Genomic DNA, 12,882 nt, shown 5'->3' on the forward strand with positions numbered 1-12,882 from the left:
AAGCACACCTAAATGATAAGGAAAAAAAAACTCTTCATAATAAATAAATATCTTTCATCTTTAGGTGAAACTGGATCTAAATGCACGGAAGGCAAGGTTTCCTGTTTTAAATCCATAATAAAATAATAAATATACATAATATAAATAATTAATTTTAAAAATCCTGTTTTATTATTTCTTAATAAAGCCAATTCTATAAAGCAATGTTTACCATGCCAGAACTTCTCATCTTATCTAGTTTCCTAGCTCACTGATAAGAAAGGCTTCTGGGATGGAACAAGGTCCCATGCACTGGCCTGGATTTAAAGGGACAGTGTTGGTTATTTTCCTAATGCTGCATCTTCTGAAACAAACAGCTTTCTTGTATACCCCAGCAAATCGCAGTGGAAGAATCTCCCTTTTCACGAAAAGCAGAGCAGAGCTGCTACACTATGCCGTGTGAAACCTGCATATAGGGGCCACCTGCACCCACTGAGGAGGACACATGGCTGTTGAATATAGCTTTGCATTCAACAGAGACCTCCATACACACATTGAATAGTAGCCTTTTATCGACAGGTATTCTTTCAACACAGGTGGGCTCAAAAACAGATTTTACTATACTGTGTATTTCTCATCTAAAATCTTTGCTATTATGCCTGGCACACCAGAAAATGCTCTGAAAAAAAGAGGTCAATGTGCCAACCTCCAAACTAGACTGGTATATCAGATAAGGAAAATTAAAGGAAGCACTAGGGACCAAGTTTCTCCAGGACGCTGCTGCTCTCTGCCTGCCCCATCATTAGAGGTGCAGACAAGCTCTGAGGTCTGCAACGTGCTGCCCAGCCACTGCACGAGTAGACCACTTCTCACCCACTATGCGCAAAGCGCCTTGAAGCACTATATAAATGCTAGTTGTTGTTATAAATGTATCCCACGAGTCAGGTGGCTCAGAAAATAGCAAATTCTTATTGTTTTATTTTAAAGAATCAATAATTTTCATACTTGGTCAAAAGTCAAAATGCTTCATAGCTTAGTTTTAGGATTCTTAGGTACGGTAAGAATCTAAACGGATTAGACAACAAATGATGATAGGAACACATTCTTCCTATCTCAAATGTCAAACAACAACCGCGGAAAGGAATGTACCCTGGGATGCCACTGGAGGTTCCATGTGCTTCTGTGACCCCGACACTGACCAACCACAGCATATCTTGGCTGGTCACATTTATAAAAAATAAAAGTGAAGCAGCCATTCTTGAACACTAATGGTTTGGCTTAATAGACTCTTGTATCCAATAAAAATTGAGTTTTAAATGCCACCCTTTTTAGCGAGAGTTAAAATAAATTTAAAAAGGTGTTAAGAAAGGCTTCTGGGATGGGGGGAAGCCCCAAGATTGGCCTGGGTTTTCTGATGAAAAATGCATGAAGTCTCAGCACATAGCGGAATGAGTGCTGGTAAACGACAACTTTTCTAAGCAAGAGGCTGGGTTATCCAATCTCATGGCTAGCCCACTGAGGAGCCTTGACAGGAATGGACACAACTGCTTTCTTTGTGTACCTTTTAAAGTGTAATATCCTAAGAAAAATTATCCTTTTCTTTTGTAATTTGATTTGATGTTGCTATTTTACTGAATTAAAGCTTTTTTTTTTATCCCAACGAGTAAATTTATCATGCTACACACTGATAAGGGCTGCAAGCATGATTATGATTTCCATAAAGCAACAAGAAAGCGCTCAGTACCTGGGAAGCCCAAGCCACATGACCCATGATGGGGACCAACTGGCATCATACTCATTTTCGCTGAAAGTACTCGGCTGCTCCTCCGCGTTCTGAGTCGCCTCCTCAACAATCTGGACCTCAAGTGCTTTAAGGGCAACAGCAGGGGACGCGGCACTGGCTTTCAGCATTGCAACTGCCTCACTGTGACTTAAATTGGTCAAATCAATGCCGTTGATATTTAGCAACACATCACCTGTTCAGATGAAGAAACAAGAAAAATGAGCTGAGCCACTGAGTTTTCACCTGCAAATCTTGTTGTTTATAAACTAAGCAACAAAAGTTAGTTCCCCCAACTCTGATGAGATAAGGTATAATAATAAATGGCATTTATTATTTCTTTGTAATTTTTATAATATTGAGAAGAAACCCAATACACAGAAAACATTCCATAATTTTAAAATAATGTCATAATACATAGAAAAAAGTGTGGCCTGAGGCACCTTGACATGATTGGAAGTTCGAATCATCAGTCTGAGTTTAGCTGTGTACAGGCCCTGGGCAGGTTCATTTCTCTTCTTAAGAGTTTCAGAGATTTCTACAATTCTGTCCAATCAAAAATCACTTGATCCTTTGCCCTTAGAAATAAATCTTTAATGTATTCTGCTTTATATTTACACAGTTCTATACATAAGGACAGCCCTGTATAGTTTATTCAGGGCAAACATCAGAATATGTACAAAGAAGCTATCCCTGGGCCCACATGAAGAAATGAAACTTGCGGTTTGAATGTCTTCCCTGTTTCAGGAAGAAAAGAACTGTTGCTCTGCTAAGTAATATAATAAAAAATGGCAATGAGGATTATATCAAAGGTTAGGAAAGGATTAGTTTTGTAGGAAGCAGACATTTGTGCTACAAAGTCTACAGAAATTTATCTCTCCCAATTTATCATCAGTTTTTCAGATTATTAAAGCAAATCATTCTCATTGTAGAAAATTTAGAAAACACAATAAAAGAACAAAAAGGAAATAAAATTACCCCAATACTACAACTGGACAAATAACCTTTACTTAATAGCAGCTTGAGAAATAATTCACATACTATTCAATTCACCCATTTAAAGAACATAATTTTATGGTTTTAATATATTCACAGTTGTGCAATCATCACTACAGTAATTTTGAGAACATTTTAATCACTCCCTCTATACCCATCATTTCCCTTCCCCAACCCTAAGCAACTACTAATCTACTTTCTGTCTCTACAGATTTGCCTCTTCTGAACATTTCATGTAAATGGAATCATACATGGTCTTTTATATCTAGCTTCTTTTACTTGCATAATATTTTCAGGGTTCATCCTTGTAATTTGTGCCAGTACTTCAGTCCTTTTCATGGCCAAATCATATTTTGCTGTATGGGTAGACCACATTCCATTGATCCATTCCTCAGCTGATGGACATTTGAGTGGTTTCCACTTTCTGGCTATTGTGAATAATGCTGCTATGAACACTGGTATACAAGTTTTCGTATGAACAGCTGTTTTCATTTCTCTAGAAGTGGAATTGCTGGTCATATGGAAACTATATGAGGAATCAGTTTAACTCTTTGAGGAACTACCAAACCGTTTTCCAAAAACAGTTGTACCACTTTATATTCCCACCAGCAATTAATGAGGGTTTCCACTGCTCCACATCCTTGCCAGTGTTTGTTATTGGCTGTCTTTTTCATTATTGTCATCCTACTGGTTGTGAAGTAGTATCTTACTGTGGTTTTGATTTGTGTTTGAGACAGGATCTCACTCTGATGCTAGGCTGGAGTACAGTGGCATGATCTCAGCTCACTGTAGCCTTGACCTCTGGAGCTCAGGTGATCCTCCCACCTCAGCTCCTAACTGGGATTACTACAGATTCACACCACCACAGCTAGCTAATTTTTGTATTTTTTGTAGAGACAAGGTTGTGCCATATTGCCCAGACTGTTCTCAAACTCCTGGGCTCAAGCGATCCACCTGCCTTGGCCTCCCAAAGTGGTGAGATTACAGGCGTGAGCCACCACACCCAGCCTGAGCATCTTTTCATGGGAAAACTGGCCATTTATTTATCTTCTTTAGAGAAATGTCTATTCAGATTCTTTCCTCATCTTTATGTTGTGTTTTCTGTCTTTTTAATTAGAGTTGTAAGAATATATATTCTAGACACAAGTCATTTGTCATATATATAATTTGCAAATGTTTTTCCCATTCTGTGGGTTATTTTTTCATTTGCTTGGTTGTATTCTTTGTAGCACAAAAGTTTGCAGTTTTAAAGTCCAGTCTGTCTATATTTTCTTCTGTTGCTTTTGCTTTTAGTGTCATATCTAAGAAACTACTGCCTAATCCAAGGTCATGAGGATTTACATTTGTGTTTTCTTCTAAGAATTTCAGCTCTTATATTTAGATCTTGCATCCATTATGATTTAATTTGTGTTTATGGTGTGAGGTAGGGGTTCAACTTCATTCCTGGAAAAATAGGTTTTCAGAGTCACTTTTCTTACCTTATATACAAACTAAGTCAATGGAGACTGCTATTTTTACCATGGCAATAGTGGCTAGCTGCAACCCCCATCTATGCAAATTATATAGCATTGATAGGGAATATGAAATGGCAAATGCATTTATCCCTAAAATTAATTTTGTCTTCTGCTCCACCTCCTCTCTGAGTCCCCTTCTACACAGACACTTTATTAAAAGAAACATTTTTCAGTGAGATGGCCCTTTGGAGTATCTAAGTCTGTTGTAATGCTAGAGGATCTTTTCCCAAGATAAAATAATCTAAGAGTCTGAGTAACTGTTAGCAAATTCTGGAACTGTCATCAAGGTTCAGCAACTTTCCTTTATATAAGGCATTTTTCTAACCTCATAGAATGACTTTATGCTTCCATATGCAAGGGACAGTTTAAAGAACTTAAAAAAGTCATGTTTAATAGATACTTTGTAGATATTCTTTATTTTTTTAAATGTGCATTTAATTCAGAAATAAGATGTGGTAAAATTTTTCAAGATCCCATCTTACCTCTCTTTATTCTGCCATCTCGTGCAAGGCAGCCATGGGGTGGCACACTGGTCACAAAGATGGGCAGCTCACCACTCTTACTTCCCCTGCCCCCAGCAACGGTCATGCCAAGGGATTCATGTGGTTCCTTCTTTACAGTAATGTGTTTTTCTTGGCATGTAACACACTGAGTAAGATCCTAAAACATACAAGAAAAAAATCATTGGATAATGAATAAAATATAGTTGAAGTAAAGTTATTACTTCAAACTAAGGTAATAACTTACATGGCATTTATAAAGTAATTATTTTTTATTCCTTAATTGCAAATGAAAGTAATACACAGTTCTTAATAAGTCTGCTGTGGATCAATGTCAAATTTTGGACTATGTTATTTTCATGACTGTTTATGTAGCTGAAAAAACTCAGGACTGCTGAAATACAGCAGTCAAAGTAAAATAAGCACATCATTTGTATAATTTGTTTGAGCTTCATGTTTGATCAACTTCACAAAAGTAAATGATGCTTTTGAGTTTTAAGATTCTGAAGACAAATCAATTAATTTTACTTCCATCTTTCCCCCATTTCTTTGACAGAAAAGTTGACAGAGTAGTACAAAAGTGTAGATTTTGGCAACTGCCAGAAAAAGGTCATCGACCTATCTCCTGATTCTCACTGACTACTACTATGAGTGCTCAATCATGAAGAAGATGCAAATCTACCTTCAAAATCTTCATGAAAAGCTAAAAGGATATAAAATGACTGAATTTTTGAAAAAGTTAATGACAGGGAAATAAATTCCCAACAAATTAATATCTCCTATTTTTACTGACATTTGTTACTACTACTTATTATTGAGATGTTCCTGGAAGAAAAAGAATTTAAAACATCACTTTTCTTTTGAATTAGAATTCAGTAAAAAATAAGATGTACATATGCAATATTAATATTAAAATAATAATTAACATTTGGGCTTAGCCTGTGAAAAGCTAATGCCTTTACATGCATTATTTCATTTAACCTTCACAAAAGTCCTGAAATTATATATTATTATTGACCCCATTTTACAGATGATGAAACAAACTTAGGGAGGTCATGTAACTTGTCCTGAATCATGTTAATATAGGCAACTGTCCTGGGATTCAAAATTTACGTATGTTAAAAGAATGTACTATATATTAATACAAATAGTATTTTGTATATGTTTATATAGTGTGATAGACTACATGTACATATTGTATATATGCACCTACACAAGAACTATCCCATTAAGTGTACAGTGTAAGATAATGTCTCAGAAGGTTTTAACACTTATTAACTGTTAAGAGAATGTTGTAGATAATTAAAATTGTTAATAATATAAAAAATACAAATTACATTCACAGAATTATAACATTTCCTTAAATCACATTAGAGAATTGACATGTATTTAACTGTTAATAATGGCATTTATCAAATCTCTAAATCAGGGCCTGGAATTCTAGGCCTATCTACCCTTCTCCAGATGTGAAATCTATACTCTTGAAATTTTACCAAAGGAGCTATGTGTAATAGCAGCATAGTATTCCCAGAAAATGTTATGACCAAGGAGAAAATCTGTAAATGTTTTAAGGCAATCTCCTATCTAAAGGTATGAAATTTTTGTCAGCAGCCTTCAAAATTAGACAAACACAACTTTATTCTGAAGACAACTCAGGTAAACTCAACCTTGAGTATATTCATTTAAGCAGGTTCAGCCCTTACATATTTAAGCAAAGTGTGGGTATTTTATTACTCTAGGTGTCTAAAATGTATGCAATTTTTACCCAGGAACCCAACCAAACTTCAAAGATTATACTCAGTTTGCTTCAAGGAACTTCCTAAAACAAACATGAATGTTTATCAGAACAGCTACTGGGAAGCTTTATAGAAGACTAATATATACTTTAATTTTTTCAGAATGATTATAATTGTCTGAAAAGATTGTTTTGGTGAATGTGTATGTGTTTTCCCTAGGAGACCTTTACTTTTCTGTATCAGGATTTGACAAAACAAATGGAGCATCTTAGTAGTAAATAGCTAAATGAACACATTCCATTTCAAGTGGTTTTTCTAACCAGCCAGGTTTGCAGAGTGCCTGGAATAGAATAAATTCAGCATCACTATTTAGAACATTGTCATATAAAATTAAAGAGAATGAGAATTAGCATAGTTATGACAGAAAAATACATGTGCCCACAACAAATTGAATTAAGGAGAGTTTGCTATAGGAATACTGGAATTATTAATTACAGTTTTTCAAACTCTCTTAAAACTATAATGTTGTTATATACACCCCTATCTCAAATTATAAAATTCAATAACATAAAAGATTCAATTATCAACTTGTACCTTATATTATAGTTTTATATGTATAAAAAACTTGTAAAGCAAGGACTAGCTATATGAAACAACACCTATTCAAAAAGTCCTGTTTAAAACAATTACCCCTTTTCCACAGTCATTATTTAAAGGCAAATTATAGGTTTCCTTCATACATTTTGGTTTTGCTCAGAAATGAGAATGAAGTCTGTGATTATAATTTCTTTTTAGTATTAACTAAATCAAAGACCAATGACAAGTCTGTAGAGAACTTAAGCTCAGAAAACCATATAAACCCAATGGGCCAAAAATACTGTGTCTTTAAGCTATGCTTTCTTAGGGTACCAGAGACAGACTCCAAAGCTAATTATTCACTCAAATGTTACTTTCAGGTGACAATAAATAAGTTTTTGCTTAGTAAAGCAATTTAATTTTACTTAAGGAGAATTACTCTGGTAGGTCACATTTAGCTTTTATTTTTGCATAATTGGGTAAGCATAACATCATTGTTTTAAAACTTCTGGCCCACTGGAAGTTAAGAGTTCAAATGAAGGATGAAATGAAGTAAATAATATCAAGAATGCTAAAGTATCATCCTTTCAGATTTTTGGACTGAAAGTGAGGTAGCATCAAAATTCTCAGCTCAGGTAGAATACATTATAAAACCAGTGAAATACTGATTCTGAAGAAACAGTAACAAAGCTTAACATATGGAAATTTTAAATGATTTAGGGTAATATTCCTCTAAGCTTTAACATAAAAAGAAATATGCTATATATGTACCTATCAAATACGTAAATATGCTATATATGTACCTATCAAAATTCATGATTCATATGTTTAATCTTCATGTATCTAATTCAGGTTCTGTAGGCAACAGGCTCAATTATTAAGCATAGATTTGTCAATCTTGTCTTATGTTTTTTCATCAACTAACTCTTATATTTAAATAAGCAACCCAAGATAAATTCCACTTTCAAGTAGGATTAAACAGATAGAAGATTTCACGCTTCTTGTTAATCGCCTGGCAAAGGAAACTTCCCCTCCAAGAAACTATCTCCAGATCTAAGGAACAAAGCAGTCACTTTCCAAGGTAGCAAAACATATACATTTCATATTCCAAACACCTATATTTTTCAACAGAATAACAACCCTCATTTGAATCTTTTTTTTAAAAAAACTGCTTTATTGAGGTGTGACTGACACACAAAAAAACCTTCATTTAAATCTTACCAGCTTGTAACAATGATCCTTTGATGGTGGCATAAAAAAAAAAAAAAATCCTCACCTTATGTGAGCTTGGTCTGCTATAATACGGTGGTGGTGTGTGGTGCTGGCTGCTGCTGCTATGATTTCCTGCTTCTCTAATGGTGTTACCAGGCTGGGGTTTCCCTGGTCTAGCAATTGTTAAATTCACTCTCTCTCCACTGGCCTGGAGAAAACACAAATACATTACCATAAGTGACTAATGATGTTTGTCATTTTAAAGATTACACACAGTGTAATTTTCAATGAACTTCTTAATCACTGTACCAGGGCGTCATCTGGACAGTGACTGCAAGCACCTGGTGGCAAGAGGAATGAGTTCATTTCATTAGCTAATATCTTAAAACTTCAGCAGTTGAAGCACATACACACAAAAATCTTGGGCATGCCGTCTGCAACCCCACCTCCAAAATGACCAAGGCAAAGTGGTCACACTGCCTGGGCTCTTATTGCCCCATGATTGGTAACTTTTCTTGTAATACTTCTTTGCATCTTCAAGGTTGGCCTTAATATTGCAAGACAGAGCAAAGGAAATAAAAGGAAGAACTGCTTCAAAACTTGATTAAAGTCCATTGTGACTTTTGAAATAAATTTCCATGGTGGCTACTTCAGAAATCATAATGAAATTCTGCACAGCTTTGTTTCTGCTGCTATAGGTCTGAGTCAAAAGTAGGATATCGGCTTCAACATTCTTGAAAAGAATGACTACAGAAATCCTGCATAACAAGACTTTATATGTATGTGTGTATATATATATATATATATAGCATACTTGTGTGAATGTGACACACGTCTCCAGTGTTAAATTATTTTAGAGGTTCATGACTGTCGTTTTAAATTTAGAGGCTTGTTAGCTATCATATTTTGAACATATGTTTACATTGGTTACATTTTTACAAGTTATTTAATACTTCCTTTTAAATTATAAGTCTAATTTATTTGATGCTGACTCTTGGTCATGACCACAATGCCCAATTTTACTGTAATTCCTATGGGAAAATATGATAGCCTGCTTTAAAGAAATTGTGGTACAAAGTGGAGACCTCTCCCATGATTATAGTCAATAATGTTAAGAAATCACTTTATTTTCAAATCTTACATTAGAAAAGAAGTAAGAAACAAGTTTAATGCCTTACTAAAATCATTTACTATTGGTCTCCTTTTAAGACATGGAGTATATGTTATTTTTTAAAATCCAAAAACAATAACGCTTTTACTTATTTTCAAAAAGAAACAGAGCAACTTTAGTTTTCCATTATTTGGAGAAAATTATAGCACAAAATACGTTGAAACTATTTATAACATCCAAATATAAAATATGATCACGGACAATTTAAAATACATTTTCTATCTGTGTATCTGTATTTTTCACATTTTGGTTAGAAATTTAGTTAGAATCATCCAATTGAATGAACTAGATTAGATAATTTAAACATTGCCTGAAATACATATAGTCCATCTATTATTTTCTATCTTATTGATCTGGCCTCTCACTTGACTCTTTTACTCAAACAGATGCTATAACTCTATTAGCTTTCTTCTTCCTCCTCCTCTTTTCTCCCCTCCCTCCCACTAATCTCCACTCTTACAAGATGAGCTGGGTTTTAGTGGTGCAGCTGCTGGCTAATACCCACAGATATAGGTCCTAATGTTGCCTTTGATTTGAGGAAATTTTAAGGCATCCAATTTCTTTAAACCTCAAGTCTATGAAATTAGACCAATATCAGAATCTCCTCTCAATACAATAAAGAGAGTTGAGACTTGAATTTTCTTATAGTCTTAAATTTTCATTGTTATTTGATTCTGTGTTGTAAACACATTCTTCAATGACTATCGGCCTACCCTACTTCCTGATCCTCAATTACATAATTCTTGGTTTCCTTTACAGTGTTTTGTTTTGCTAACTTTAAGAAAAACATCTTTTTGTTGCACCCTTATCACTGTAGAAGTTGCTCATATCATTAAATGCTATGGCATGTTGCAGAATGTATAGATCTCCTCTGGATGACTTTCCAACTTATCCATCTTCATGCTTTTATGAAAAACATGTTCTTTCTCTAATAATGACTATCCTTACTTATGTCACAAAGATGCTATGAGGACAAATTTTATCATGTATTTTAAACACTGTGAATTCCTTAGAAACAACAACAAAGCACTATAGAGATAAGAGTTATTCTTCCTCTATTTATATAGATCCTGACAGGGAGTTAAGAGACCAGGTAAGTCAGATCCTTGGTAATCACAGCTCTTTTGAGCCTCCCTTTCCTCACTTCTAAAAGGTGGACATATCATCTGCTACATCTGGCTTAATAGTAGAACCCAGGACCCAAATGAGAAATGAATGTGAAACAGTAGAGCCTACGCTCTGTAAATAACCATCCCCAAAATTCACAGGGATATAGTTTTTAGAAAAGACTATCTCCAATGAAGTTATACTAGTGTGGATTTTAAAGAATTCAGGTAGCCACACCCGATTTTCTAATGAAATATAAAATGTCCCCTGAATTCTGATGTTATTGGCCAGTGAAAACAAATACTACTATATGATCATTTCGGCCAAGCCTTTGGAATGAAGGCCAAGAGGGTTTACCTGAATAATCTGGGCAGCAAGCTCCGGAGTTCCATACTTCAGGTCGTGCCCATTGATGGCCAGCACTCGGTCATTGCTGCTTAGCCTGCCGTCCTGGGCAGCCAACCCCCCTTCCAACAGGTCAAGAATAAAAACCCCTGGCTCATCTGTCCTTCGCACCAATTTAATGCCAAGCTGTTCACCAGAGTCCCGTTTATGAAGAGCCACTTGGAAAATCTCTTCTCGTGGAGAGTTACTATCAGAATGGTTGTGTGCTCGGTTGCCAAAGCGCCTCTCTCGAAGCACAGTAAGATGCAGTGTGTTGCAGGGCTGGGAAAGGACAGCTCGGGCATAGTTATGGGACACATTGCTGATATTGTAGTTGTTGACCTAGAAAAAAAGAATTGTGACCGAAGTGTGACAACCTTTTATTTTTCCAATTTGTAGGAATGTTTATGTGACATTTCCACAGGAAACTAAGTATTGTGAGAGTGCTAAGTATGGTGAGAATGCTATACAATCATTATTTACAAAGAAAACCACATTAAAGACATTTAAAAACAGAGTTTCTAATATTAACTTACAGTGACTAGCATCAAGGAGAGAATAGTAGCTAGGATCACGGGCTTTAATGACGGTCTTGAATTAGAGTCCTAGGTACTACCATTTACTAACTGATAACTTAGGCAAATTATAGAACTTGTCTGAATGAGTCTCCTCATCTGTAAAATGTGTTTACTTCATGGGATCAGTATGAGAATGAACAGATTAACATGGGGCAAGTGCTAATGAAATAAATACTAATTCTAGTGGAACAGAAATTTAAGTTTTACTAGATTACAAATTTGCTTCTTCCAAATTAAATACACTTAAGCTAGAGAAAATAAATTGTTATTTTAAGGAAAGTAGCACATTTCAGGTATACAAACTTATTTTAGATAAGTGACTTTTACCTGAAAGAAAACCAGGTTAATTGTAATTTCACTCTAATTCTTCAGCACAGAAATATTAGGTTGGTGCAAAAGTAATTACGGTTTTTACCATTAAAAGTAAAATATAATGTATATCTAATGCATTATTCAATACTCATATAACATTTATGTATTCACCTTTATAATCTCAAAAAAAGTATAGTGACTGATCCTTGGGTATGTAACAGCACTTAGAAAATACACCTAACTTCAATTATTTCTTTAGTTACAAGAGATGAGCATGATTCTTAGCATTTATCACAATTAGAGTTCTTCTCTGAATCGGTCTGAGATGAAACCAACATCCTCTGACCATCTGTTATATGACAGGCTCTGAGTTAGGTGTTTATGATCACCTAAAATTCTTACATCTTTTTCACACAAATCCACATTAGGCAAGACTTTCCTCTTCCTATTGACTTAGGATTGATAGTTGTAAATACTATTTTGAATTTTGTTGATTTTGACCTATTAACACCTTTCAGAATTCAGTCACCAAATGCACAGATGTCACACACAAACTTGCTTTCTCCCAAGTCTGCAACATCTATTAATTTGGTAGTCATCCAAGTCCTTGGTAAAAGTATTGAATAATACAGGGTCAAGAATGGAACTTCTGAAGTTCTATTATATTTAGAAAGCAGCTTCTAAAAATCCACGCAGATATAGATTCATTAGTCAAACCACCATTTCCAACTATTTAGCTACAAAGCTACCTACCTGTAGGTTCACATTTTTCTGTCTTATATTCAGACATATCACACATATCACAAATGACTTTACAAAACGTCTGGCTAAAATCCAGCCATGTGTAAACATGCAGCCTCATAACATCTTTGTGAAGCAGGCTGGGGAATATTCTACAACTGGAAAAAGATTTTTCCTCCAGGAATGCATGGTTGCCAGTGAAATTCAGAGAAAGCAGAAACCAAATAAAATATTGTTTCTAGATTTTGTAAAAATAACATCAGCATAGCAAACTATCTCATTTTTGAGCTAAATGT

At 34.9% G+C, this 12,882-nt stretch overlaps 1 protein-coding gene across 9 annotated transcripts in view; it reads right to left on the reverse strand.

Moving 5' to 3' along the window:
* The window catches only part of LNX2 (ligand of numb-protein X 2), a 75,195-nt gene that overhangs the window by 5,572 nt on the left and 56,741 nt on the right, over positions 1–12,882 (reverse strand). For 7 of the 9 annotated variants that reach the window (XM_017020434.2, NM_153371.4, XM_047430148.1 and 4 more), the window contains 4 exons: positions 10,929–11,297; positions 8,358–8,501; positions 4,752–4,929; positions 1,724–1,955 (listed from right to left, as the gene is read on the reverse strand). In XM_017020434.2, coding sequence (XP_016875923.1) covers positions 1,724–1,955; positions 4,752–4,929; positions 8,358–8,501; positions 10,929–11,297 — 923 coding nt within the window. The remainder of the gene's footprint in view (positions 1–1,723; positions 1,956–4,751; positions 4,930–8,357; positions 8,502–10,928; positions 11,298–12,882) is intronic. The other 2 variants (XM_011534995.3, XM_047430151.1) reach the window with 1 other exon arrangement.

The sequence above is a fragment of the Homo sapiens genome, chromosome 13, assembly GCF_000001405.40.
Source record: "Homo sapiens chromosome 13, GRCh38.p14 Primary Assembly".
NCBI classification, from domain to species: domain Eukaryota; kingdom Metazoa; phylum Chordata; class Mammalia; order Primates; family Hominidae; genus Homo; species Homo sapiens.